The following is a 27,313-nucleotide window of genomic DNA, read 5'->3' as shown; positions in this document are numbered from 1 at the left end:
ACTCGGCAGGCAAGGGCCTTCCCAGAAGCCCGTGTGGAGAGTGGTTCCCTGAAGGGCAGTGTCTGGGGCTGCTTTTGACTTGGTTCTCAGAGGCCTCACAGGTGCATCTGAAATGCTCCTTCTGAGACAGTTTGGTGACCAGGCCAGTATCTTTTGTCTTTCTTGCAAACCCTGTTTGATTTCCCTTTTTGTATTCAGAAGAAAAGTCCTGATCTTGTAGCCTGTTTGGAGTCTGTGATAGAAACAGAGCAGAAGGCTTTTAAAATGCATCTTCAGACAGTGAGGTGTGTCCTGATGCAGGATTAACCTTGAACTCCGGAGGCAGAAGAGCCAGGAAGGAGCACTGAGCTGGAGCTCTCTTGCATTTGGGGCTTGCCGCCTCCCAGCTCTGCGTTTCTGCAAGCTGATGGCCAGGAGCCAAGCTACGCTGAGGGGCTGTGGGGGCAGTGAGCGTGCCACCCACACAGAGGGACTGAGCGGAAGACGCACACCGCTCCCTTGTCGTGTGGCACAGCTGTGTCACTGCTCTTCTAAACGTGGAGAAAGCCCCTTAAACTCCAAATGGCCAAAGGCTTTGCAGTCCTTGGTTTCACATCCGTGGCACCTTGGGTGGAGTTGCTTCTGTAAGCCAACAGATGAGCAGGTGAGGAGCACAGCGCGGACCCCAGAGCTCCCTGCAGGACGCCCTTAGCCTCGCTTGCATATGCCCTCAGACCGGGCTGCAGAGGGGCTTCCCACGCCCCCATAGCACGGGTTCCTAGGGGTCTAGGGTCATTAGTGTGGAGGGCAGACAGGCAGGGTTGTTGCCCAGAGGTCAGCAGTGGTTTCTGTGTGGTTTTTAATACCTACCTGGAAACCGGACTTGCCATCTCCTACGGAAGAATTAGCCTCACCATACTGAACAGTCGGCCCCTACCTGAATTTCCAAAGTGTTGAGCCTGAATTAGTAGCTTTCAGGATAATCACATCTCATGAGAGCTAAATGAAAAACCAGACTTTTTAAAAGTCACCTTCAACATCTGTACTGTAGTATTCAAAATATTAGTTACGGAAGTGATTGTGGAGCATTTAAACATTGGATTGTGTTTGTTTAAACTTTGAAATGAAGATGAATTCCAGAGTGGGAACATGAAGTCTTTGGTGACGTGAACCAGCTGAGGGCAGTGCTGCCGCCTCTGCACTTGTTCAAGTGCCAAGGCTTGGCCTCCGGCCCGAGGGCAGGTGAGTTCCTGAGCCACTGTGGCTCACCCCGCCCTGCTCCGTCTGCGCTAGGTTGCAGCCCCACCCACGTCACGGTGTACAGCGAGTATGGCGTGGACGTCTTTGATGTGCGCACCATGGAGTGGGTGCAGACCATCGGCCTGCGGAGGGTAAGGCGGCCTCGGTGCCCTCCTGTGCGGGCGGGCTTCTCCCGGTGCAGTCTGTGCGTGGCCGCGCTTACTGTCCCTCCCTGGTTTCCAATCCAGATAAGGCCCCTGAACTCTGAAGGCACCCTCAACCTCCTCAACTGCGAGCCTCCACGCTTGATCTACTTCAAGAGCAAGTTCTCGGGTGAGCCTTCCTCTGCACCGGGAGTGGAGGGAAGGGAAGTTGGAGGGGCGTGTGTCCCTGGTGCCGCAGCACCGTCACCGCGCGCTCTGCTTCTGCAGGAGCGGTTCTCAACGTGCCGGACACCTCCGACAACAGCAAGAAGCAGATGCTGCGCACCAGGAGCAAAAGGCGGTTCGTCTTCAAGGTCCCAGAGGAAGAGAGACTGCAGCAGAGGCGGTAGGAGCGGGGCCTCACGGGGCCTGCTGGGCCTCGCTCTAGGGAGGGGGCCAAGAGGATTCTCACGTATCCATGAATCTCAAAAGTGTGTCCTTTCCCCAGAGAGATGCTTAGAGACCCAGAATTGAGATCCAAAATGATATCCAACCCAACCAACTTCAACCACGTGGCCCACATGGGCCCAGGCGACGGCATGCAGGTGCTCATGGACCTGCCTCTGGTGCGTGCACGGCCGGGATAGGGCGGGCAGGGCACCCCATCTCCTCCTCCCCGCTCAGGCAGCCATGCTGGCTGAGACTGTCCCAAAGGCAGTGCCTGCGAGGCTGGCGCTGTGCTCTGACCTGGCGCTCCTGTCACACAAGCCCGTCTCCGCTGAAGCTCTGTTCACGAGCACTTACCCTGTCACAAGGCCTTGTGCACAGGCCTCGGGCCGCCCTGGGCAGTGATGCTGCAGGTACTTGTGAGAGTCCACCACGTTTCGGCCTGTGAGGGCTTCCTAAGGACGTTTGCCATGAGGTGGTGATTTCTCAGTAACACCTTCGTACCAACAGATAGCATACTTTCTCTTTTTTACTTAAGAAGTATGTTTTTGGCTGGGCGTGGTGGCTCATGCCTGTAATCCCAGCACTTTGGGAGGCCGAGGCGGGCGGATCACGAGGTCAGGAGATCGAGACCATCCTGGCTAACACGGTGAAACCCTGTCTCTACTAAAAATACAAAAAGAAATTAGCTGGGTGTGGCGGCAGGTGCCTGTAGTCCCAGCTACTGGGGAGGCTGAGGCAGGAGAATGGCATGAACCCGGGAGGCGGAGCTTGCAGTGAGCCGAGATTGCACCACTGCACTCCAGCCTGGGTGACAGAGCAAGACTCCGTCTCAAAAAAAAAAAAAATTATGTATTTTAGGCTGGGTGTGGTGGCTCATGCCTCTTAATTCCAGCACTTTGGGAGGCCACAGTGAGTGGATCACCTGAGGTCAGGAGTTTGAGACCAGCCTGGCCAACATGGAGAAACCCTGTCTCTACTAAACTACAAAAATAAGCTGGGTGTGATGGTGGGCATCTGTAATCCCACCTACTCAGGAGGCTGAGGCAGGAGAATTGCTTGAACCCAGGAGGCAGAGGTTGCAGTGAGCCGAGATCACGTCATTGCACTCCAGCCTGGGGGACAGAGCAAGACTCAGTCTCAAACAAACAAACAAAAAAAGTACGCTTTTTATAGGATTTGACCTGCCCTGAAGTTGCTATTGCCAGTTCTTAGTTCCAGACTGTCCAGAACCCTTGTCCAATCCAGAGAGCCCTCTTGGCCCCCATTTTGCTCATCAAGGTCACGAGGCCACAGCCACCGTAGGTTGCACAAACTTCGCAGCCGGCCCTGCCGGGTGTCAACCAAGCATGCTCACGTGTTGCTATTTCTGCCCAGAGTGCTGTGCCCCCCTCCCAGGAGGAAAGGCCGGGCCCCGCTCCCACCAACCTGGCTCGCCAGCCTCCATCCAGGAACAAGCCCTACATCTCGTGGCCCTCATCAGGTACAGGGGAAGCCTGGCCCCCGCAGCCCTGGGGGAGGTGGGGGGTAGGGGGTGCTGGAATGGGGAGACCCCAGGCATTTGATTCCGTTCTTGACTTTCTCCCTAAGAGGAAAGCTGTCCTTGTTCTGTAGGTGGATCGGAGCCTAGCGTGACTGTGCCTCTGAGAAGTATGTCTGATCCAGACCAGGACTTTGACAAAGAGGTGAGACTTGCCCAGGTCCAGTGCTGAGGCTATGAGCCACCACTGCAGGAGGAAAAGCAGCCCGAAGATCTGGGGCCCTGGGTGGTGTCACAGCCCTTTTGGAGCACCCCACTTGCGGTGTGAGGGTGACGGGGGCAGGGGTCGGGGTGGCTGTCCCCTCCCCCAGGAGGCTCGTGCAGCAATCTCTTGGTCAGACCCCAAGCTCCTTTGGGAACGCTGACTAGGGACAGGGCTGTCACACTGCCCCAGGAGGAATGGAAGCTTTCCCGCCAACCTGCCTCTTTCCTCTGGACTCCCTGTGTTGTTTTATGTACTTCAATGTGATACATCAGCAGTCTCTTTGGTCTGGGCTGACCTTCCACATTGGTTGGTCTGTCTGCCCCTCCCTTGGGATGGCGCTTGGTGTCAGAGTGTGGGGACCACCTCCAGGACAAGCGCCACTGTTGTGCGCAGCTCAGCCACACTGCTCTGGCCTCAGTTTCCCCTGTGCGGAATGGGGATGAGAATGCAGTCGAGGGAGGCGAGGAGCTGCAGTGCTGAGGGCTGAGGAGTGAGCTGAGGGCTTAGCCCCCGGCGCCATCCTTGGAGGGAGGGAGGGAGGGATGCAGGCGGAGGGGCCATGCTCATCTCTCCACCACACATCTCAGCCCCAGCACTGAGATGTTTTAACATCAGCTGCCGAACGGACGGGCAGATGCCTTGCACATGTTGCTGGTTCTGCCAAGGTCAGCGTCTCTTCCTCTGGAAGTCCTTTGTCTTCTCCATCCTTTGTCCATCCTACTGTTCCACCCTTTATTCTGCAGCAGGCCCCCAGCCTGTCTTTGTCTGGTGGGACAGTCACATTTTTGTAGCAAGCACTGCTGTTACTTTACAGAACGCTCCTGAGTTTGAGTTTGTCCGCTGTTTCCTGGTCATGGGATTTGAAGTGTGTCTTAGGCTGTCACATTATACAGAGGACATGGTGTCCCTCTTAGGGTACTGTGTCCTGAGGCAGCCAGTGCCTGTCTCGTCTGCATGACCTTGTTTGTTCTTTTAAATTTAAGTGAAATTCACAAAACAACAATTTTTTTGTTTTTTTTATTTTCATAATAATATAGAGGCAGGGTCTCACTTTGTTGCCCAGGCTGGTCTCCCAACTCCTGGGCTCAAGCTGTCCTCCTACCTTGGCCTCCCAAAGTGCTCAGATTACAGGCGTGAGCCAGCACACCGGGCCCAAAATAACTACTTTAAAGTTACTTTAAACTACTCAGTGACATTTGGTACATCCACAGAGATGCAGTCACCACCTCTTTCTCATTCAGAAACATTTCCACTCTAGCTGGGCACCACGGTTCACGTGTGTAGTACCAGCTACTAGTGAAGCTGAGGTGGAAGGATGGCCTGAGGAGTTCAAGGCCAGCCTGGGCAGTGTAGTGAGATCTTGTCTCTAAAACATAATAAAAAAGACATTTTCATCATTTCAAAATAAACCCCCTGCCCTTTAAGCACTCTCTCCCCGTCCCTCCCTCCCCTCAGCACCTGGGCAGCCAGTAGTTTCCTGTGATTTCCCTGTCTGGACATTTCGTGGAAATGGAATGCCCAGCCTCTCGTATGGCAGTGTGTTTGACCTTTTGTGCCTAGCTCTCACCTGGCATACTGTTTTGTGGCTCACCCCCGTTGTGTAGCATGCATCAGTGCTGGCGTTTCTATTGCTAAATAATATTCTCTTGTATGGCTAGACCACGGTTTGTTTTCCCATTCTTCCCCTGAGGCACATTTGGGCTGTTTCTGTCCTTCAGCTGTTGTGAGTGGTGCTGCTGTGAACACGTGTGTGCACATATGTGTTTGAGTGCCTGTTTTCACATTCGGGTTTATGCCTGTGAGTGGGATTGCTGGATTTATGTGGTAATTCTATGTTTAACTTTTTGAGGAACCACCAAATTGTTTTCTGCAGCAGTTGTACCATTCTATATTCCACCAGCAATGTGAGGGTTCTCATATCTCGACATCCTCACCAATACTTGTTCTTGTTTTTCTTCTTTTTAATAGTCGTCCTGGTGGCTATGAAGTAGTACCTGATTGTGGTTTTGATTTGCATTCTCTAAAGACTTATGTTTAGCATCTTTTCATATGCTTGTTGGCCATTTCCGTACCTTCTTTAGAGAAATGTCTACTCAAGGCCTTTACCCATTTTTGAAATGGGTGGTTTGTCCTTTTGTGGCTGGGTTGTAGGAGCTCCTGGCATGTTCTGAGTACCAGGCTCTTGTGAGAGATGTGATGTGCAGATGTCTTCTCTTGTTCTATGGGTTGTCGTTATTTACATTCCTCATAATTAATGTCTTTTTTTTTTTTTTTTTTTTGAGACAGAGTGCAGTGGCACGATCTTGGCTCACTGCAACCTTTGTTTCCTGGGATCAAGTGATTCTCATGCCTCAGACTCCCAAGTAGCTGGGACTACAGGTGCCCGCCACCATACCTGGCTGATTTTTGTATTTTTAGTAGAGGCGGGGTTTCACCATGTTGGCCAGACTGGTCTCAAACTCCTGACCTCAAGTGATCTGCCCGCCTTGGCCTCCCAAAGTGCTGGGATTACAGGCGTGAGGCACTATACCCGGCCTAGTACAGCCATCTTAACAATATTTTTACTCCACGAACATGAGATGTGTTCCATTTATTTAAGCTATTTTTTCAGCAATGTTTTGTAATTTATAGTGTACACATTTTTCCCTTCTCTGGTTAAACTATTCCTAGCTATTCTTTTGGATGCTGTTGTAAATTGAATTTTTTTTTTCAGTTTCCTTTTCAGTGTGTTCATTTCTGGTGTATAGAAACACAACTGACTTGTGTGTGTTGATCTTATACCCTATAACTTTGCTGAGCTTATTAGTTTTTTGTGGATTCTTTTCTTTGGGATTTTCTACGTGTATAATCATGTCATCTGCAAAGAGAGATAGCTTTACTTCCTTCCTAACTTGGAATCCTTTTCATTTCTGTTTCTTCCCTGATCGCTCTGCCTAGAACCTCTAGCCCCATGTTGAATAGCAGTGGTGAAAGCAGGCATCCTTGCCTTGTTGCTGATCTTTTTTCTTTTTTTCTTTTTTTTTTTTTTTTGAGACAGAGTCTCACTCTACATGTAGCCCAGGCTGGAATGCAGTGATGCGATCTCGGCTCACTGCAAGCTCCGCCTCCTGGGTTCACGCCATTCTCCTGCCTCAGCCTCCCGAGTAGCTGGGACTACAGGTGCCCACCACCATGCCAGGCTAATTTTTTTTTGTATTTTTAGCAGAGACAGGGTTTCACTGTGTTAGGATGGTCTCAATCTCCTGACCTCATGATCTGCCCACCTTGGCCTCCCAAAGTGCTGGGATTACAGGTGTGAGCCACCGCACCCGGCCCGTGGCTGATCTTAGGGGAAAATTTTGTCTCTCACCATTGGGTATGGTTAGCTGTTTTATTTTGTTGAGGAGGTTCCCCTCTATTCCTAGTGCTTTTCTCAGGAAAGAGTGTCGCGTTTGTGACTTTGACTGCTTGGTTGCAGGTGCGCACCACTGTGCCCGGCTGATTTTTGTTTTTTTTGTTTTGTTTTGTTTTGTGACGGAGTCTCGCTCTGTCGCCCAGGCTGGAGTGCAGTGGTGCAGTCTCGGCTCACTGCAAGCTCCGCCTCCCGGGTTCACGCCATTCTCCTGCCTCAGCCTCCCCAGCAGTTGGGACTACAGGTGCATGCTGCCACGCCCGGCTAATTTTTTGTATTTTTAGTAGAGACGGGGTTTCACCATGTTAGCCAGGATGGTCCCAATCTCCTGACTTTGTGATCCGCCTGCCTTGGCCTCCCAAAGTGCTGGGATTACAGGCGTAAGCCACCACGCCCGGCCTGATTTTTGTGTTTTCAGTAGAGATGGGGTGTTACCACATTGGCCAGGCTGGTCTCAAACTCCTGACCTCAAGTGTGATCCACCCACCTTGGCCTCCCAAAGTGCTGGGATTACAGGCAGGAGCCACTGCGTCCGGCCCCATCTGATTTCTTCACTACAGAGTTGCTGTCTTTTGTAATGATAATTACCATGTTATTTTTGAGTGGGATTAGACATCAATTTGTGACTCTCACCAGCACGCCTAAGGGCCCCACGAATCGCTGGTGTAGAGCGTGTGTGTTTTCATAACATGAAGGGAGAAGAGCAGTTGCGACAGTTGTCCCTGAGCAAACATTTGCATCCAGCTGGGCACGCGTGCCTCCCCAGGCTAGGGCAGCGGGTGCTCACCCTGCCCTCTTCCTGTTCACAGCCTGATTCGGACTCCACCAAACACTCAACTCCATCGAATAGCTCCAACCCCAGCGGCCCACCGAGCCCCAACTCCCCCCACAGGAGCCAGCTCCCCCTCGAAGGCCTGGAGCAGCCGGCCTGTGACACCTGAAGCCGCCAGCTCGCCACAGGGGCCAGGGAGCTGGAGATGGCCTCCAGCGTCAGTGCCAAGACTGAGCGGGCCCTCCAGTGTTGTCCAAGGAAATGTAGAATCACTTTGTAGATATGGAGATGAAGAAGACAAATCTTTATTATAATATTGATCAGTTTTATGCCGCATTGTTCGTGGCAGTAGACCACATCTGTTCGTCTGCACAGCTGTGAGGCGATGCTGTTCCATCTGCACATGAAGGACCCCCATACAGCCTGTCTCCCACCCCTGACAACCCGAGAGGGCATATGGGGCCCTGCCAACACCACTTCCTCAGCAGAAACCCGTCATGACGCGGCTGCTTCGGAAGCAGACATCTGGGGACACAGCCTCAGTACCCAGTCTTTTCCCTAGTTCCTGAAACTTTCCTAGGACCTTAAGAGAATAGTAGGAGGTCCTATAGCATTCCCAGTGTCACTAGAATTTTGAAGACAGGAAAGTGGAGGTTAGTCTGTGGCCTTTTTTTCATTTAGCCATTGCACAGTCAGCTGCAGAAGTCCTGCTGACCACCTAGTCATGGACAAAGGCCCAGGACCAGTGACACCCTGCGTCCCTGTGTGCATTAAGTTCATTCTGGGTCGCAGCCATGAAGTGTCACCAGTATCTACTACTGTGAAGTCAGCTGTGCTGTTTTCCATTCGCTTCCACGGCTTCTGCCTCCTGCCATAAAACCAGCGAGTGTCGTGGTGCAGGCAGGCCCTGTGGCCTGCTGGGCTGAGGGAAGTCAGAGCCCCAGGGCGCCACGAAGCAGCCACTGGGATACCCCACCCCGCCCCGCCCTGCCCGCCCCCCCCCCCACCAGTCCTGCCCCCGCATGGAGCCCCCGTGATTAGTAGCCCGTATGATCACGTAGACCCACCCAACACACTCCTGCACACTGGCCCCGGCCCACGGCACAGCAATCCCCTGCGCGTGGATTTCACCTCACCCTTTGTACCAGATGTTGAGTGACCAGCTCTGTGGCCCTGTGTCGTCAGAGGCTTGTGATTAACTGTGGCGGCAGACACAGCTTGTCCACAGCTTGGGCCAGGCTTCCCCTGTCCTCCCACCGGTCGGCTGCTTGGCAAGGCTGTTCAGGACGTGCACTTCCCCAAGTCGGCACTGAGTGGCCCAGCACCGCCTAGCCCTGCCACCCCACTGCCCTCCTGGGCCTTCTGCTGGATGGGCACCTGGGGGGTTCTGGTTTTTACTTTTTTAATGTAAGTCTCAGTCTTTGTAATTAATTATTGAATTGTGAGAACATTTTTGAACAATTTACCTGTCAATAAAGCAGAAGACGGCAGTTTTAAAGTTCCCAGTGGTCCGTTTGGATGTGGTAACATGTCACCCGTGTGTCTGGGCCCCAGAAGTGCCTGAGCTCCAAAAGGCAGTGAAGGAGCCACCTTGCAGAAGATGCTATTCGCCAGCAGAAGCTATTCTGGGTAACTCACTCGGAGGTCACCCAAAAGGCTGCTGTTGGGGTGTTCAGCCTGAACAGAGGGCATCCTTGGGGCAGGAGTGAAGGGAGGAGGGCAGCGTGCCTGTGAGCCCCAGCCAGGCAGTGCCAGGGCCCCAGGAGCAGGCTGCCCGCGAGGGTCTGCCTGTCCACACCCATACACGCCAACCCTGCCAGCAGCCCCAAGGGACAGGATGGGGTAGGCCAGAGGCCCCAGGAAGAGGCAGGAGTTCTCGGGGAGGTCTGGGCCAGGGTGAGTGGTCCCTGGTTGAGGGAATGCTCGGAGTCAGTTTCCTGAGTTATGCAGGGAGTTGGCTTCTATTTGCCACTCACTGAGACCTAGTTGTCCTTGGTAGGACAAGGGCAGTGATGGCCCCTGCAGAAGAGTGCGGACCTGGGAGAAGACTGCAAGCCAGGGCAGGCAGCCCAGCACCCAGCGGGGGCACTTGGGACCTTGAGCTCTGTGCCAGGCAGCATGGCCTGGGCTGCTGCTGCAGCAGGCGGCTCCCCTGGAAGCCCAGAGCATCTCTCCTTCCACAGTCCACACCAGAGGCAGGTCCCTGCCAGCACAGTCCATCTGTGACGGGTGAGCAGTGGGTGGCAGGTGGTGTCTGGTCAGCTCAGGCTTGCTCTCCAGTTTGCACCTGACACTAAAGAAAATTGTGGCTAAAAAGTGCGTGTGGGAGTATCGGCCACTTCTTTTAAAAATGCGAGATGGTAGCTGTTGGAGCACACACGTGAACTGTGGCGGTCACTCAACGGGACACTGCACAGCACTGAGAGTGACTCATTCCAACCACAACACAGCCGCACCTCGAAGCACGGGGCCCTGATCTGGGTTACAGCACGTGTCCTGGTGGCTAAGCTGGGCCCCTGGGCAGAAGATTCCAAATGGGGGCCAGGCCATGACTGGGGATGCCGGTGACATCTCCAGCCCCAGATGCTGGTTTCACAGAAGTGGTCACTGCCACAGTTGCAGCTGCACACACAGGGCTGGACCCTTGTCTGTGTCGGTGCAGTGGCGCACGCTTGCACATGGGTGACCCCATATGATCTGCCTTCGCACCCAGCAGCTTGGTACCAGGAGGGATGCCCACCCCTTTTCCGTCCGCCCCACCAGGCACGGCCTTTGGCTCCGTCCACCCCTTGCCTCTCTCCCGCCCCTCCCTCCAGCTCCTCACCCTCCCCTCACCGGAAGGCGGGGGAAGCCCCACTCCTAGTTCTGGGTTCAACTTCGCAGATCCCAGCCTCTGGCCGCCCAGGTGACGACCAGCGCTGCCTCCAGCAGTGGCCAGCTAGACCCCTCCCATGTCCCCCAGTGCGAATGCGGCGCAAGGCTGGGCTCCTAGTCCTCATGGGCGGGGCCGGTGGCGGCATAGCCAGGCTGACAGCAGGTGCAGGAAACACCTTTACTGAGTAAGGCCACCCTGTCCTTGGCCCCCGGAGGAGGGGGAAAGGAAGGGGAGGTTTGGGGGCTGGACGAGGAGGTGGCTAGCCCCCAGTTCGACTGGGGCCAGAGCGGGTGGAGAGCCCCAAGGTCGACGGTCAGGCGGCCGCTCAGGCCTCGGCCTCGGCCCCGGCGAACAGAGGGTTGACGAAGTAACTGTGGCTGGTGCTGTCTGCGGCCGCCTTCGGAACCAGGCTGAGCCGCCGCGGCAGGGGCTGCGGGGTGACAGGGTCAGGCGGCGGTCGGCGCCGAGTCCCGGCCCCGAGGAGGCCCCGGTCCCCCCTCCAGCCCCCTCACCAGCTCCTCGGAGGCCGTCACGTCGAACACCGGGTTGCGGAAGCCGAGGGGCGCTCCAGCCGGGGCCGCCGCCTCGTGCCTCCTCCACCTGAGGGCGTAGCGGGGACGCAGCGTGAGCCCCTCGGAGCAACCCCCAGCCCCACCTCCGCGCCCCCGCCCCGCGTACCTGAGCCTCCCCGCGCGGCGCAGCAGCGGCGGCGCCACCAGCAGGACCAGCAGCGCCAGCAGCACGGCAGCCGCCACGCCGCCCGCCAGCCCAGCCGCGGAGCTGCCCCAGACGTGTGCGCCCGACTCCCGCATGGTCGCCTCCAGGACGCCGAGGGCCTCGCCTGCGACGGAGGGGCCGGCTCAGTCTTCCCCGCGGCGGGGCGAGGCGCGGCGGGGCGGGATGGGGCGGGCGCGGTTACCGTTCTCGGCGACGTCCGCCAGGAGGGCCCGGGCCAGCCGCCCCGCTCCGCCTGTCTCGGGCCCATTCTCCACCAGCACCACCTGGATCTCCGTATCGGCCTCACGGAGCCGGGACGAGCGTGGCACCTTGGACACGGCCACCTGCAGCCCGTGGTACTGAGGCTGGGGAGGGGGACGGGGTTGGTTTGACTCAGCCCCCCGCCCTCCCCGAGCCTATGGGGACGCTAAGGGCAGAGGCAGATAGTGGGCAAGTGAGCAGCCGCAGGGACCCTGCAGAAGGGGCGTCCTAGGCGGAGGCGGTAGGGCTGGGGTCGGGACTCCCCTCAGCTGCCCGCGCGGCCCCATTACCAGACCCAGGAAGGTGTCCAGTATCCGCGCCCGGTACCGCTCCAGGTCAAATGCGGGGCCGTGGGTCAGCAACACAACGGCTCCTGCGGCGGGAGGGCAGGGGTCAGCGCCGTGGATCCGGGCCCGGCAGGAAACTGAGGCGGGGGACGAACCTGGTCCTCCAGGCCTTCCCAGCAAGCAGGGCCCGGCGGGGGCGCTTACCACAGAGGTCACAGCACTGCCCCTGGGGCCGGAGGGCGCTGTGGCAGGCGGCCTGGGGGCAGCGGCCGCCCAGGGGCTGGAGCAGGGCCGCGCAGATCCACGGCTGCGCCTGGTGCGAGGGGCGGTGGTCAGCGCGGAGGGCCAGAGCGGACCGCAGCGAGAAGGGCGATGCCTCCGAGAAGCAAGCCGGCGAGAGACCGTGGGAGCGCAGCGGCCCTGTCCCGGGCACAGTCCCGACCCTCGCGCGGCCCCCGCGACTCCACTGCGGCCTCGCTCACCTCCGCGTTGCCGCAGACGCAGCCCGACGGGTCCGCGCAGTCCTCGGGGCCCACGCTCAGCGCGCCCGGCCCGTGGAAGCGTAGGCGGCCCGCGCGGGACGCCAGGAAAACAGCCAGGTCCTCGTCGCGCGTGAACGTCTGCGGGCAGCCGGGTCCCCACCGGAGCCAGCCCGAGGAAGAGACTTCACCTGAGTGCTCAGACCCAACGTGTGCAGACCAGGAGGGGCGGGGTCGGGCCGAGGTGGGGAGAGGGGACCCGAGCCTCCCTCCCCTCAGTGCTCACCCGGCCCAGAGCCGAGATGCTGCGGACACGCACGGGGCTAGCGCCAGGGCCGAGCCCCACGCGGAAGGAGGCACTAGGCGGAAAGAAGACGTCGTCGTGGCGGCAGGGCACGCGCTCGGCGTCCACGAAGAAGAGGCCAGGTGCCTCGTCCCCAGAGCGCCACAGGTGCGGGTCATGCCAGGAGAAGCGGTCAGAGTCGCGGAAGACGGCAGGTTCGCCTGAGCCGGAGCACATCCCTGAGCTCCACGGAACAAGCGCCGCGCCACACCACGCCACGCCACGCCACGCCACGCGTCTGAGCACGACCTCCCAAGCCCCGCTTCGGGACACTTCCGCCACTCCCTAAACCACGCCCCCGGAGGCGCCCTCCCTCCGGTCCTCGCCCCCCTCGACGCGCCTTCCCTCCAGTCCCCGCCCCTGAACATGCCTTTCCAGAGCCCCGCCCCTGCCCGACCGCCTCACCCGCGCCACAGTCCAGGTGCGAGCCCACGTCTGAGACGCCGAATCCGGCTCCTGAAGCCAGGACGAGTTCCCCATCCAGCGGCAGGAGCTGCAAGAGACACGGGCTGAGGCGGCGCCACGCGGGGGTCCGGGCCTGCTCCGCGCCCACCCCGCCCCCAGTCCCCTGGGACGAGAAGCCGAGACCCTGTGCACGGAAGGAGCCCGGGCGAGCTCAGGCCCGGGGTCCTCGGCCTGGCTGAGGCTGGCAGAGGAAGCGGATCTGGCCTGGGAAAGATGGGGCCGCGTGGGCAAGGCCCCGAAGCGGGCACAGCCCAGTGTCCTGTCCCTGAGCTGGAGGTCTCACAGGCCAGGGGCAGAGCCGGAGCCGGGGAGCGAGACGGAGCCGTGGGGAGTCTGGGGCGGAGGTGACTCTGGCCAGGGCCTGTCGCCTCCCCCCGTAGCCCCTTGAGAACGTGCACAGGCCCAGGGCTCCCAGGTTCCAGGAACTAAAGTTTCGAAAGTTGCCCGGCTCCTGGGGAGTCTGAGGCCGCGCTCTTGGTGTGTGAGGGAGGGAGGGAGAGGCTGCATCTGGCGGCCAGGGGTGCAGGAGGAGGCAGGGAGTGTAGCGGGGAGGTGGAGTTGCCCCTGCTGTTTCCTATAGGCTTGGGCTGGGCCGTGCAGCTCCCGCACCACAGAAGTGGGGCCACAGCCCAAGTCTCGGGTGTCAGCAGAAATACGGGGGGTCTGACTGGCCGCCCCTCACTCCCCCTCTCCTCCAAGTGCCAGGACCTCAGCCTCCTGCCTTCTTGCTTCTGCACTTCTCCCTCAGGGGCTGAGGGTGAGCGCTGGGCCAGGGCAACCCTTGCTGCCAGGTTGTGAGGGGCTCAGCACAGCAGGGCGCGCCCACCCGAGGCAGGACCCACTCTTCGGCCCTTCCAGGAGCACTGCACCTGAGCAAGAGGCCAACACCCCCAGCGACGTGAGGTCACACTTCAGTTCCGTGCACACCTGAGGGTGTGGCACTGCCAGCAGGGCAAGTCCCCCCACAGGTGCAGAGGTGGAGCCGTGGGGACGGAATGTGTCATAGCTCAAAGCGCCTCAGGAACAGGGAGGGGTTCCCAGGAGGAAGCATACCAAGAACACCGTTTTTTAAAGAACGAAGGGGAAAAATAGAAACGTAACATAATAGTTGAACAGACGAGCACAGTAGGTAAGGCCAGGAGTTTGAGATCAGCCTGGTGAGAAACATAGTGAGACTCCATCTCTACAAAAAATTTAAAAATAAAAAGAGGATATAATTTTTAAATATAGGGCAACATTTATAATAGAAACCAAACTTAAGGCCAGGAGCGGTGGCTCATGCCTGTAATCCCAACACTTTGGAAGGCCGAAGCGGGCATATCACTCGAGCCCAGGAGTTCAAGACCAGCCTGGCCAACATAGTGAGACCCCCATCTCTACAAAAACTACAAAAATTAGCCGGGCGTGGTGGCACAAGCCTGTAGTCCCAGCTACTCGGGAGGCTGAGGTGGGAGGATTGTTTGCGCCCAGGGAGGTCAAGGCTGCAGTGAGCCGTGATCACGCCATTGCACTCCAGCCTGGGCAACAGAGTGAGACCCTGTCTCAAAAAAACAAACTTAACAAAGTATTGATGAATTAACCAATACAATATAAGACCTCTACAGGGAAAACTTTAAGATGCTAAAGAGGCCATGGATGACCTGAAATATTTAGAGAGAGTCCGTCCATGCTCTTGAATGGATGGCTTGACAGCATAAGGCTGTTATTTATCCCAATCAAAATTCCTGTAGTCTCAGCTACTTGGGAGGCTCAGGCAGGAGAATCGCTTGAGCCCGGGAGGCAGAGGTTGCACTGAGCCGAGATCACACCACTGCACTCCAGCCTGGGTGGCAGAGCAAGACTCCATCTCAAAAAAAAAAAAAAAAAAAATCCAGGGTTTTTTTGGTGGTGGTGGTGGTAGTTGTTACCTGGCAAACCTATTCTACAATTTATCTGCAACAATGAGATCCACAAAGAACCTTGGAGCAGGAGTGAAGGGGATGGATATTAAGCCATCCTGCAGAGCCACTGTGTGGATAGTGTAGGGTCGGCAAAGCGGCCTGTGGACTTGAAGACAAGGCTCAGAGAGACCCACAACACCCAGGCACACGACGGATTCCAGCAGTGCTAGAACAAAAGGGCAAGGCGGAGGATGCTGGAAGCTGGGTTCACTCTAAGGAGAGAAACACAGCAGGAGCCCTCGCTGGTGCACGTGCCCCATAGGTACACAGTCCATTACCATTGTGACTGAGGAGCAGACGCGATTCTCAAACGAAACAGAAAAAACACAGTTCTAAGGTAAGGCGTTTTGCATTAGGTCGATTAAAATGAAGGTTTCTGTTCAGCACAGGACACTGCAGGCAAGTCCACAGTGAGCAGACTTGCAAAGCCTCCAGCCAAGGCAGGGGGATGGGTGAAAGACAGGAGACTCCCCCAACAAGAAAGCAGGCAAAAGGTAGAAATGGGAGGAAGGGCAAGGAAAAGGAAAATCGCAGGGAGGGACGCTCCCAACCACAGAATTACAAAGTAAGGCACTGATGTGCACGGCCTGTTACTCGGGCCTCATCTAGGCAGATGGATGAAGCTGGGAGCCAGGGGTGTGGAGGGCAACATAGCCGACGCGGGCAGGGGATGGGGGTGCTTGGGCGGCTCTGGGTGAATTCGGCCTCTGCAGGCTGGGACCCTGGGGCCACTGTCCCCTGCCCCTGCGCTGTTCCCACCGGCCAATGGATGATCAATGAATGAATTATTGAATAGATGAATGAATGGAGTATTGCCTCCTTTCAGAGCCCAAGTGCTTCCAAAGGAGATCATGAAAGTAAGGAGGCCGGCAGGGGAGGGGAGTAGGGGGAAATCCATGCCCTGGAACCCCCAGCCCAGCCTGACTCCTCTGCCCACAGGTCCCCCATCAGCTCCCAGTGCCCCCCTCACTCGGGCTGCCTGGTTGCCAAGGTTATGCGTGGGTTCTGGGGGCCGGGCCACAAGGGGCAACCGCCTCCCTCTCCCTGCCCTCCTCCTGTTTCCCGGGTGGGAGCGTCGCCATCTTGCTGTGGGTGCCCTCCCCAGTGTGTGGCAGCTTTTGGGTTAAGGCAGCTTTGGAAAACCTGAAGGAAGGAACCAAGCGGCCCTGGGGTGGAAATGAGGCCCAGGGTCCCTGACCCCGCATGGGGCAGGAATGGGCCAGGCCAAGCCCATTGAGCCATCCTCCCCACCCGCACACGCGGGGGCCCCAGGCCTGGACCCCACATCTGGAGCCGACACCCCGACCCAGCTCACCAGTGACCCTCACTCAGGAGTGACTGAGCTGGCAGGTGTGCAGGTGACAGGATGAGGACGCAGCCCAGGAGTGGCTGTGAAGGGGCTGGAAGGAAGCTTTTGCCCAGAGGCTTGGCCTGCAGGCCCCACAGTCACCCTGGAAGCTGGTGGGCTGCCGATGCAATGGGACAGTGGCCACCGAGGATACTCAACCAAGCGGGCAGGCTGTGTGCCAGTGAAGCTGTATTTACTGTCGCTGAGGTGTGAATGTCATATATTTTTCAAGTGCCACAAAAGATTGTTCTTTTTTTCCCCAACGATTACAAAGTGTAAAAACCGTTCCTTGCTCCACCCGTAGGGGCTGCATTTGGCCTGTAGCTTGCGGAACTCCACCTTAAACAAGGAAATTAGCTTCTTTCTCTGGGGCCTTATCAGAGCCTTTAATACGTGATGAAGCTCCAGGAAAGTGCAGGCTGCAGCATTTCCCAAACTTACCTACTCATGGAACCCGCTTTCCTCCCAGTTCCCATCATGTTCTTGGAGTGTTGTGTGAAGCAGTTTGAGAAAAAGGTCCCCTAGGGCAGCAGTCCCCAACCTTTTTGGCACCAGGGACCAGTTTTGTGGAAGACAGTTCTTCCATGGACTGATGGGAGTGGGGAAGGTTTCAGGATTAAGCTGTCCCATCTCAGATGTCAGCCACTTAAGGAGTGCACACCCACCCAGGCCCCTCGCTGGCGCAGTGACAATAGGGGTCCCTAGGAGAATCTGATCTGATCTGAAGGGAGGCAGAGCCAGGCAGGAGTGGGCTCGCCTCTTCCTGGGCGGCCACTTCCTAACAGGCCAGGGACCCGGATGGTGGGTAGAGGGGGGGGTGTTGGGGACACTTTCCCTAGTGTTCTAAAGATGGAGCTTTAGGCACCAGGACAAGGCAAGGCTTTGGGGGAAGGGCATGGAGCAGGCGCTTCCTGGGAAGACCACCCACTGCTGGGCATCACAAGGGCTGTGGGGACAGGGGTGCCTCCCATCCCTCCCAGGACACAGCCTGGCTGGGACCATGGGACCAAGCTCCCCTAGGTTCCCCCCCACTCCCTGCCTCCTAGAATATTCTCCAGAGGCCAAAGTCCCAGTCCTGCAGTGCCTCCATGCCGGTGGGGTCCGCCCTCAAGGCACAGCAGTCCCTGAAGGCGCTTCAGAGACTCTGTGAACCCCCAGCCCAGTGGCAGTAGCAGCCCGGCCTTACCATGTCTGAGACGGCGTGACCTTCTTGCACCAGGACTGACACCATCTGCAGGAAGAAGCTGCCTCAGCCGAGCCGGGAGCAACCCCCACCGGGGCCACACGGTCTCAGGGGTCCAGGCCCATCACCGACCCCGCCGGCGCTCCCAGGCACCTTGTCCGCCGGGAACTCAACGGCGCCGCCGGCGCACGGGGTCCGGTTCTGGCTCCAGTTGGCTGCGACGTCGAAGTCCGTGTTGGGGACCCAGAGTTTGGAGACCGCCTGGGTCAGTGCTGGGGAGGAGGCGACTGAGTGCCCGGGATGCTCTCCGGGATGCTCCCTTCTCAGGGAAGGCCACCCACCCAGAGAAGTGCGGAAGGTCCGCGCGGATCACCCGGGACGCATAGGAACCCCATCCCCGGGGGCCCGGACCCAGACCCTGGTCCCTCCCGGCCAGACTGTGGGCGCCCTGCCCGGGCGCTCTCCAACGGACTTCTACTGATACCTGCAGAGCCCGCTCAAACGCGCCCTGCAGGACGCCTGCCTAGATAGCCTCCCGGCACTGCCCCCAGTTTGCCTGGCGCTGGAGCAGAGGACAGCGTTGTTAAGGACAGTGACAACTGGGGCATGGAGGAGGATGGGGCAGCACAGACCTCTTCTCGGCCTTGGAATCAGGAAGGCTTCCCGGAGGAGTCCTACCTGGGCCGGGAAGAGCTGCGACAGAGCGCAACCCGGTATGAGAAGTAAGAAGGGGCTGGGGGCGGCAGGACCAGGTCAGGCCGGCCCTGAATGTGGTGGGTGGGGTTGTCCTGAGGGAGCCGCGAGGGGTTTAGGGAAGGGGGCGCCAGGGACACGCGCCGGCCTGGTGTGAAGGCGGAGGAGGGCTCAGTGCTCCCTTGGGGACCGGGAAGCTGAGGCGGTCTGCCGAGCCCCGCAGGCGCACACTCGCTGCTCTCGGCAGGTTCTGGGGACCGCGCCCATTTCGCAGACGGAAAAACCGCGAGGGCAGGAGCCGCCGGAGGCCGGGGCTGGCCGAGGTTCCCGGAGCCCCTCCTCTCCTCTCCCGCACCGCCCGATGCACTGGCCGCGCACTTCCGGGCTGCGCACTCGCCAGACGAGGGAGGCAGGGCCGAGTTTCACGCCCCCAACCCTCCAAAGCCCTCCCTGCCCACTCCTCGGAAGATCTTCACCCTCCAGGCCTAGAGCGACCTCGGCCCTGGGTCCTGACAGACCGCTACCGTCCGGGCCCGCACCGGTGTGGTCCCGGCTCACCGCAGAGCTGCAGCCACAGCAGGACCCGGCCCAGGACGCCCATCTCGCCTCGGCTCCTTGCACCCCACCAGGAGACTTTGCCCCACTGGACCCACGTGACCAGGCAGGTCGGGTGGGGGCACCAGGGTCGGTTACACATTTACCTCCAGACCCGCCCAGGGCCGACTCTTCAGGCCCCTGGGAGGCACCTTCTCAGCCTCCCCTTACCCGCCCCTGCAGGGCCTGAACACCTTAGGTTCTCAGGAAGAAGGGCAAAGAAGAAGGGCTTGGCGAGACTGACCTACCCTGTAAAATGGGTGTCTTGCCGGGAGGGGGAATAAACGACCTTTGAATTCACCCCTTTCTCTGTCCTGTGTGCTGCTAGGGCTGAGCTAGTCTGCTCACCATTGGAACTGGGTGTCCACTTCTCCACGCAGTGCCCCTGTCCCATGGGCTGTGGGTGGTGGTTGGATGATAGAAGGAAGATCCTGGATGGAACATGGTATGTGGATGGTATAGGAGGGTGGATTGTGGATGATGGTGGAGAGTAGTGGATGGTGAGTAGGGGACAGCTGATGGACAGCAACATTGATGGTGCATGGTGTACGGCATATGGACGCATGGCAGATGAATGGTAAATGGTTGACGGGGTGGATGGTGAGTGATAGAGGGTGGATGGGTGATGAATGGATGGATGAGGATGGTGAGTGAAAAATGAATGAATGGCCGGGCGTGGTGGCTCATGCCTGTAATCCCAGCACTTTGGGAGGGTGAGGCAGGCGGATCGCGAGGTCAGGAGATCAAGACCATCCTGGCTAACGCGGTGAAACCCCGTCTATACTAAAAATATACAAAAAAATTAACCGGGCATGGTAGAAGGCGCCTGTAGTCCCAGCTACTTGGGGGGCTGAGGCAGAACGGCGTGAACCCAGGAGGTGGAGCTTGCAGTGAGCCACGATCGTGCGCTGCACTCCAGCCTGAGCGACAGAGCGAGACTCCGTCTCAAAAAAAAAAAAAAAAAAAGGAAAAGGAATGGATGGTAATCAGGGAGTGGTGGATGGATAATGGCATAAATGGATACATGGCCGACAGGTAGATCATAAAGAGTGGGTGTTGGCGGGGCACGGTGGCTCACGCCTGTAACCGCAGCACTTTGGGAGGCCAAGGCGGGCAGATCACCTGAGGTCGGGAGTTCGAGACCAGCCTGACCAACATGGAGAAACCCCATCTCTACTAAAAATACAAAATTAGATAGGCATGGTGGCACATGCCTGTAATCCCAGCTACTTGGGAGGCTAAGGCAGGAGAATCGTTTGAACCTGGAAGGCGGAGGTTGTGGTGATCGGAGATCACGCCACTGTGCTCCAGCCTGGGCAACAAGAGTGAAACCCCATCTCAAAAAAAAAAAAGTGGGTGTTAAATGGTGGATGTTTGGTGAGTGATGAATGCTGAATGGATGGATGGTGGATGGTGAATAGATAGATGGTAAATGGATAGATGGTGGATGATGGTTGCATAAATGGTGAATTGTGGATGGAGATGGACGGTGGATAGTGAATAGATGGTGGATAGTGAATAGACAGTGGATAGTGGATAATGGGTGGATAGTAGATGGTGGATAGGATGATAAATGGATGGGTAATGGATGGTAGATAAGTAGATAATGGATAAATGGTGGATGATGGATGGTAGGTGGATGATGGTTGGTGGGTGGTGGATAATGGACAAGTGAATGGTGATGAGTAGATGGTGAATATTAAGTGGATGGATGGGCGGCAGATGGTAGATAGTGGATGATAGATGGTGGATGGTGGATGGTAAGATGAATAGTGGTTGGTGGATGGTGGGTGGTGGATGGTGGGTGGATGGAAGGATGGGTGGTGAATGAGTGAATGGTGGATGGTGAATAGGTGGATGGTGGATGGTGGATGGTGAATGGCCGATGGTGGATGTGAATGGTGATGGGTGGTGGATGAATGGATGGATGAATGGCGAATGGTGGATGGCAGATTGTGGATAAGTGGATGGTGGATGGATGGATGGTGGATGGGTGAATGGGTGGATGGATGAATGGTGGATGGTAGACAGTGGATGAGGGATGATAGATGAATGGTGGGTGGTGGATGAGTGGATGGCGAATGGGTGAATGGACATATAGATGGGTGGATGGATGGATGGTGGATGGTGGGTGAGTGAATGATGGGTGGATGGTGGATGAAGGGATGGTGGATGGTAGATGGGTGGATGTGTGAATGGGTGGATGGATGAATGGACGCTGGATGAGTGAATTGTGGATGATGGATGAGTGGATGGTGGATATGTGAATGGGTAGAGGGATGGATGGGTAGATGGATGGTGGAGAATGGATGGTGGATGAGTGAATGGTGGATGAATGGATGGTAGGTTGTGGATGGGTGGATGGTGAATGTGTGGATGGATAGATGGTGGATGGATGGATAGTGGGAGTGGATGGTGGATGGATGAATGGTGGATAGATGGATGGTGGATGTATGCATGAATGGACGGTGGATAAATGAATGGTGAATGAATGAGTGGTAGATGGATGGAAGGTGATGGTGGATGGTGAATTGGGATAGATGGGTGGTGCGTTATGAATGGTGGATGATGGATGGTGGATGGATGGAAGGTGATGGTGGATGGTGAATGGGGATAGATGGATGTTGGATGATGGATGGTGGATGGATGGAAGGTGATGGTGGATGGTGAATGGGGATGGATGGTGGATGATGGATGGTAGATGGATGGAAGGTGATGGTGGATGGTGAATGGGGATAGATGGATGGTGGATGATGGATGGGAGATGGATGGAAGGTGATGGTGGATGGTGAATGGGGATAGATGGATGTTGGATGATGGATGGTGGATGGATGGAAGGTGATGGTGGATGGTGAATGGGGATAGATGGATGTTGGATGATGGATGGTGGATGGATGGAAGGTGATGGTGGATGGTGAATGGGGATAGATGGATGGTGGATGATGGATGGTGGATGGATGGAAGGTGATGGTGGATGGTGAATGGGGATAGATGGGTGGTGGATGATGGATGGTAGATGGATGGAAGGTGATGGTGGATGGTGAATGGGGATGATGGGTGGTGTGTTATGAATGGTGGATGGTGGATGGTAGGTAGATGGAAGGTGATGGTGGATGGTGAATGGGGATAGATGGGTGGTGCGTTATGAATGGTGGATGATGGGTGGTGGGTTGATATAGTATTTTGTAGAAGGACAGTTGATCAACAGACAGATGACGGATGGTAGATGAAAGCAGATAGTTGGCTGGGCGCGGTGGCTCACGCCTGTAACCCCAGCATTTTGGGAGGCTGAGGATGGAGTATCACTTGAGGTCAGGAGTTCAAGACCAGCATGGACAACATGGTGAAACCTTGTCTCTACTAAAAATACAAAAATGAGCCAAATGTGATGGTGCACATTTGTAATCCCAACTACTTGGGAGGCTGGGGCCGAATTGCTTCAACCTGGGAGGCAGAGGTTGCAGTGAGCCGAGATTGTGCCACTCCACTCCAGCCTGGGCGACAGAGTGAGACTCTATTAAAAAAAAAAAAAAAAAAAAAAAAAAAAAGAGTAGATAGTTGATTGTGGATGGTGAATGGGTAAGTGTATGGATGGCAGCTCACAGATGGTGAATGTTATTGGTGGATGGATGGATAGAAGAGTGATTATGGAAGGATGGTTGATGGATGGTAGATGGTAGTTGAATAAAGGAGAACGAGGGAAAGGGCGGACGGTGGCAAAATGAATCATGGTTGCATAGTGGATGGTTGATGGGTGAAAGAGAAATCGTAGCTGTTGAACAGATGTGTATGTATGGATAGTTGTTGCAATGCACGGTGGGTGAGAAAAAGTTGTGGATTTTGGATGTAGATGGATGGTGGACAAGACCAAATGGTGGAGGGATGGATTGATGGTGGATGAATAATGGTGAATGAATTTTAGATGATGTGTGAATGGATAGTAGTAAGTAGAGAGACAGTAGGTAGATGGATAAGAGTACAGGAGTTACTGGATATAAATCAATGGGTGGGTGGACAGAGCATGGTGGATAAATTGTGAATGAATGTGCGCTAGGTGATGGATGGATGATTGATGGGGGTTGGGGGAATGGGTCTGCAGTGCATGCTTGGATCTGCATCATGCACGTTGGAATGGCTGGGTGGTGAGTGAATGGAGGATGGATTTGTGGGTGTTGGGAAGCAGAGAGGTAGAAAGATGAACAGCAAATGGATTGTGCATGATGTTTGGATGATTTGATGATGGGGAGATGAGTTTCTGGGAGGGTGGTGAATTGGTCATTAGGGGATTACTGGTGGAGAGATGGATGGTGTGCCTTGTGGATTGGGGAGACACTGGTTGTAGCTGATGGAAGGGGGAGAATGGTGGATGGTTACACTGGGTTCCAATGGCAGGATGGTGGATGAGTGACTAGGGAAGGGTGCAGGAAGGATGGTGGAGGTGGGTATGTAGGCAGAGGACTGAAGGTGAAAGGGAAACTACTCAGTCTTGGAGACTTCCAGGGCCTTCCACCCTCCAGGCCATCCTGCTGTTTCCTGCACCCCCACCCCTCATCTGCAGACTCTGCCATGAGCACCCCTTTGCTTGGCCTGGTATTTGCTTCTTTCATGAGTGATATGCTGCATCCGGGGAGGAAGGAGCCGCCACTGGGGGGAGCTCTGCCTCTTTTTGTGTCCCGGGTGGGCGCCTTGCCTCGACATCTCTGATGCCACCAGCATTGCCCCTTACCTTGGAGGGATCGCCTTGAGCAGAGGTCCCTGCGCTCAGTGGCTCTGTGGTGCTGGCCCAGCCTAGGACGGGGAGGGTGGGTCCTCACGGTCCTGGAGTTTGGCTGCCCCTTGCTGGACTCACATGTCCTCAACCAGGAACAAACAGGATACTTGGGGGTCACAACTGTTTTGCCCCTTGTCTTGCTTCTCAGTGGGAAGGAGGCAGTTTGACTGACAGGGCTGCGTTGGGCTTCACCCCTGAGTGTCTGGCTCTGCCCCCCATCCCCACCGCCACCATAAATGCAGAGGGCCAGGTGAGGCTCAGCAAACTTCACCCCTGGTGCTCAGGGCCACAGCCAGGACTGAAAGGGCCCAGAGGCTGGGGCTCCCTCTCCTGATGGTGGGGCCTCAGGGGAGTCCAGAGTGCTGGACGGCCAGGACTTGGGGCAGCAATGGAGCCTCTTTGACTACTGCTGCTCCACCTGGGCAGGCCATTCCTAGATTGTGCTGTGTGGAGAGGGTAGTGAGGCCACTTGGCTTCCTGGTCAGGGGAGGCTTCCTGAAAAAGGTGGCATTAAAATGAGACAGGAAGGATGAGATCACAGCTGCAGCCACAGTGAGGAGGTTGAATTGAAGGTGGCAGACCATAGGGGGCTGGGGCTGGCTGGGTGGGGTATTGGGATCCATCTCTCTTGCCCTGAGTGGCCTCTGGAGGTGGGTCCAGCAGTCAGAGGGTGGCCCAGCGAGCTCACATGAGGCAGCAGATAGGCACCAGGGCGCTGGGCAGACAAGCGGTACCAGAACCACTCACATGCAAAGATGTGAGCTGAGGAATGGCTGCGACCGCACTGCAGGTGCCATGTGTGCACAGAAAGCCCTTGAGCATATGCACAGGTGCCCCCGGCCCTCAGGCACACATGAGGGCACAAACTTGCAAATGGCTCAGAACCTCAGCAGGGACGTGGAGAAATGCAAAGCCCCGGAGTTTCCTCCAGTAAGAAGAACCTCTCACGGCCCAACTGCTTCAGCGCAGGCTTCAGCATCTAGAGGCTGTCTCAGTCTCTTGGTCCCTGTGTCTGTCTCCGCTATGGCTGGCGGCCCTCCTGTGTTGGTTTCCGTGTGCACGGCCTTCTCCACGTGGCAGGGAAGGTGTCTTGGGAGAGTGAGACTCACCACCTCCTTGACCAGGCCATGGCAGGAGGGTCTCAGTGAGGTCTCTGATTGGTTCCTGTCTCCAACTCTGCACCAGTTCCTGTAGCCTGAGGTTGCTGTGCTCTGACTGGCCACGCTGGCTCACAGCCTCCCCTGAGGTGTGGAGGCAGCAAGAGTGACAGCCCTGCCTCCTGCACATGGCAGGGCCAGGGAAAAGGTGGGGTGGGCCTGGGACATCAGCAAGACAGGGAAAGAGCCCGCCAAGGCCTTGAGACGGGAACATGAGGGATGCTTCGAGGGAGCCAAGAACACCCGGTGCAGTGGCTCATGCCTGTGGTCCCGGCGCCGCAGAGGCTGAGGAAGAATTGCTTGAGCCCAGGAGGTTGAAGCTGCAGTGAACTGCGATTACCCCAGCCTGGGCCTCAGAGCAAGACCTCAGGTTTTTGGGGTTTTTTGTTTTTGTTTTTAAAGGAAGGTGGCTGGGCACAGTGGCTCACACCTGTAATCCCAGCACTTTGGGAGGCCAAGGCAGGCAGATCACCTGAGGTCAGGAGTTCGAGATCAGCGTGGCCAACATGGTGAAACCCCATCTCTACTAAAAATATAAAAATTAGCTGGGCGTGGTGATGGGTGCCTGTAATCCCAGCTACTTGGGAGGCTGAGGCAGGAGATTTGTTGGAACCCAGGAGGCAGAGGTTGCAGGGAGCTGAGCTTGCGCCACAGCACTCCAGCCTGGGCGAGAGAGCAAGATCTGTCTCACAAAAAAAGGAAGGCAAGAGGCAGGAGAGGAGGGAAGAGAGTGCAGGTGAGGCCAGGAGGCTTGCTGAGAGCAGCTGTTGCTGGGTGGGTTGGATACAACTCAGAGGGAAGCCCAGGAGGGTATGGACCAGGGGTCTCCACCTAGCTTGGATGGGGCTGGGCCTGCTGTCTGCTGGGGTGGGGGACAGGCAGAGCCCCCCTGGTGGCATCTAGCGGTGGTCGGACCAGTCCTGGGCGCTGTCTAGGACTCAAATGCCATATGACACTGCAATTCACTTCGCCTCCATTCGTCACCTGCAGAGCAAGGGTGGCAGCGCCCATCTCACAGGGCGCAGGGACCCAGTGCCCCTTCAGGCTGCAGCCCTGGCCTGGGGGTTGGGGGGTAGGGAAGCAGGAGCACCAGGAGACGAGAGCTCAGCCCCGGAGGAACCGTTGGTCCCTTCTCCATCCATGGACAATGGGAGGAAGGAGGAGGACATCAGGGTGTTGGGGAGCTGAGGGTCTCGGGAGCACCAGCTAGGAAGCTGCCCCTGAGTGACTTGCTTCAACCCCACCCCAGATGGGGAGGGCTCTGCAAGACTTGGACCAGGGGCCAGCCACTGTCCCGCCTCCACCTCCACTCCTCCTTCCGCACGGAGGGTTAATCTGCCCCTGCCCCTGCGCTGTATGGAGGGAAATGTTGTCAGGTGTTCACCGGCCTCCGGGTCAAGAGGAGCCGCTGCTGGCAGTCAGGGTCACTGACTTGGTACTCAAAAACCCTTACTGTCCCTCCTTGGGCAGAGTCCCCGCAAGGCTGGCTGGACCAGGACGTGAGTGGATGTGACCCGGGCTATGTATGTGGAGCCCGGGCACAGCTGATGGAGAGCAGTCACCCGGCACGAGGTGACCAGCGAGAGCTGCGCCAAGCAGGCCGCCCGAGATGGAGCTGGGCCCACGGGTGCTGAGGAACGGCTGGGACCACACTGCAGGTGCCATGTGTGCACAGAAGGCCCTTGACCATATGCACAGGTGCCCCCGGCCCTCAAGCACACATGGGGACACATGCTTGCAAACGGCTCAACCCTCAGCAGGGAGTCGGAGAGCTGTGGAGCCCCAAGTGCCACAGGGGCCAGGGAAGTGGCGGGAGCCAAGTGCCTGTGGGTGCCGGGAGTCCTCCGAGCCGAATGGCTGCAGGCCAGGGTGCAAGGCCCAGCCCGGGAGGGCACAGCCGCCTTCCCCAAGGTCCAAGGTCCCTTGCAGGGGTTTTTCCTGTGGGCGATGTCCTGTCCATGTCGAGTGCTTTCCATGTGGCCTCTCGGGTGGACGCCAGCATCATCTCCCTTTGACATGAAGCAGAGGTGCTGGGTATGCACTCATGTGAGCTGTGCCCCTGGCTCCTAGACCCCTCCCAGCAGGTGCCAGCCCTCTTCCTGCCCTGTGCCCAGATCTGGGCCCCTTTGGCTCCCTGGGGTCTGGGCAGGGGGTTCTGAGCTCTGCCCTGCGAGGCTGACCCTGGGGCCTGGGGGTCCCTGGGGACTGAGCCCATTCAAAGCTGTGGTCTGAGTGGAGGAAGTGGGTTGGGATGGCCCCACAGGTGTCTTTCCCCTCCACCTTTAACTTCTAATCGAGTAACTCCGGCACAGGACCGAGTCCCCCAAGCGGCACTGAGGCATTTATTTGAAGGACACAGACCCCAGGCCTGGCCTCCAGCCTCCAAGTCACCTGTGGCTGCAGGGTCAAGGCAGAGGCTTTAAGGATGACCTTGAAAATTAAAAAACTAAGACAAAAAGCATAGGCGGCGCGGACACCTCCCCT

At 57.1% G+C, this 27,313-nt stretch overlaps 2 protein-coding genes across 11 annotated transcripts in view, besides 7 other annotated features; one reads left to right on the top strand and one right to left on the bottom strand.

The window, feature by feature from the left end:
* Positions 1-9,217, top strand: part of CDC42BPB (CDC42 binding protein kinase beta) — a 125,170-nt gene extending 115,953 nt beyond the window's left edge. For 4 of the 8 annotated variants that reach the window (NM_001411054.1, NM_006035.4, XM_005268228.2 and 1 more), the window contains 7 exons: positions 1,273-1,370; positions 1,467-1,551; positions 1,650-1,767; positions 1,870-1,987; positions 3,186-3,291; positions 3,423-3,493; positions 7,754-9,217. In NM_001411054.1, the coding sequence (NP_001397983.1) occupies positions 1,273-1,370; positions 1,467-1,551; positions 1,650-1,767; positions 1,870-1,987; positions 3,186-3,291; positions 3,423-3,493; positions 7,754-7,885 (728 nt within the window). In that variant the 3' untranslated portion in view covers positions 7,886-9,217. Of the gene's footprint in view, positions 1-198; positions 644-1,272; positions 1,371-1,466; positions 1,558-1,649; positions 1,768-1,869; positions 1,988-3,185; positions 3,292-3,422; positions 3,494-7,753 lie in introns of those variants that run through there. The other 4 variants (XM_047431982.1, XM_047431981.1, XM_011537387.2 and 1 more) reach the window with 3 other exon arrangements.
* AMN (amnion associated transmembrane protein) lies at positions 10,755-18,934 on the bottom strand. Of its 3 annotated transcripts, none has more exons than NM_001425246.1 (12): positions 18,847-18,934; positions 17,768-17,886; positions 17,618-17,662; positions 13,084-13,171; positions 12,622-12,839; positions 12,339-12,476; positions 12,061-12,169; positions 11,860-11,942; positions 11,511-11,673; positions 11,270-11,432; positions 11,104-11,191; positions 10,755-11,021 (listed from the first exon to the last, which is right to left on the bottom strand). In NM_001425246.1, exons 3-12 carry the CDS (start codon positions 17,660-17,662, stop codon positions 10,917-10,919), a joined length of 1,200 nt encoding a protein of 399 aa, NP_001412175.1. In that variant the 5' UTR covers positions 17,768-17,886; positions 18,847-18,934; the 3' UTR covers positions 10,755-10,916. The 3 variants fall into 3 exon arrangements, with proteins under 3 accessions (NP_001412175.1, NP_112205.2, XP_011535505.1); NM_030943.4 differs by having other exon boundaries at positions 18,866-18,934; XM_011537203.4 differs by lacking the exon at positions 18,847-18,934 and adding an exon at positions 18,099-18,559.
* Positions 11,320-11,579: a silencer, noted in NCBI's record as "silent region_6136". NCBI's record gives its function as "represses an Ori minimal core promoter by ATAC-STARR-seq in GM12878 lymphoblastoid cells {active_cell/tissue: GM12878}" and the evidence as "EXISTENCE:reporter gene assay evidence [ECO:0000049][PMID:35858748]".
* Positions 13,109-13,298: a silencer, noted in NCBI's record as "silent region_6135". NCBI's record gives its function as "represses an Ori minimal core promoter by ATAC-STARR-seq in GM12878 lymphoblastoid cells {active_cell/tissue: GM12878}" and the evidence as "EXISTENCE:reporter gene assay evidence [ECO:0000049][PMID:35858748]".
* Positions 17,149-17,347: a silencer, noted in NCBI's record as "fragment chr14:103390587-103390785 (GRCh37/hg19 assembly coordinates)". NCBI's record gives its function as "represses an EF-1alpha promoter that drives an FKBP-Casp9 reporter gene in an ReSE screen in K562 erythroleukemia cells {active_cell/tissue: K562}" and the evidence as "EXISTENCE:reporter gene assay evidence [ECO:0000049][PMID:32094911]".
* Positions 18,511-18,710: a silencer, noted in NCBI's record as "silent region_6134". NCBI's record gives its function as "represses an Ori minimal core promoter by ATAC-STARR-seq in GM12878 lymphoblastoid cells {active_cell/tissue: GM12878}" and the evidence as "EXISTENCE:reporter gene assay evidence [ECO:0000049][PMID:35858748]".
* Positions 24,748-24,887: an enhancer, noted in NCBI's record as "active region_9092". NCBI's record gives its function as "activates an Ori minimal core promoter by ATAC-STARR-seq in GM12878 lymphoblastoid cells {active_cell/tissue: GM12878}" and the evidence as "EXISTENCE:reporter gene assay evidence [ECO:0000049][PMID:35858748]".
* Positions 26,482-26,982: an enhancer, noted in NCBI's record as "H3K4me1 hESC enhancer chr14:103380952-103381452 (GRCh37/hg19 assembly coordinates)". NCBI's record gives its function as "activates a minimal SCP1, AML or CMV promoter by ChIP-STARR-seq in naive H9 embryonic stem cells {active_cell/tissue: H9 hESC(naive)}" and the evidence as "EXISTENCE:reporter gene assay evidence [ECO:0000049][PMID:30033119]".
* Positions 26,825-26,874: a silencer, noted in NCBI's record as "silent region_6133". NCBI's record gives its function as "represses an Ori minimal core promoter by ATAC-STARR-seq in GM12878 lymphoblastoid cells {active_cell/tissue: GM12878}" and the evidence as "EXISTENCE:reporter gene assay evidence [ECO:0000049][PMID:35858748]".

Source organism: Homo sapiens, chromosome 14 (assembly GCF_000001405.40).
Source record: "Homo sapiens chromosome 14, GRCh38.p14 Primary Assembly".
Taxonomy (NCBI): domain Eukaryota; kingdom Metazoa; phylum Chordata; class Mammalia; order Primates; family Hominidae; genus Homo; species Homo sapiens.
This window is presented reverse-complemented; position numbering and strand designations above follow the sequence as displayed.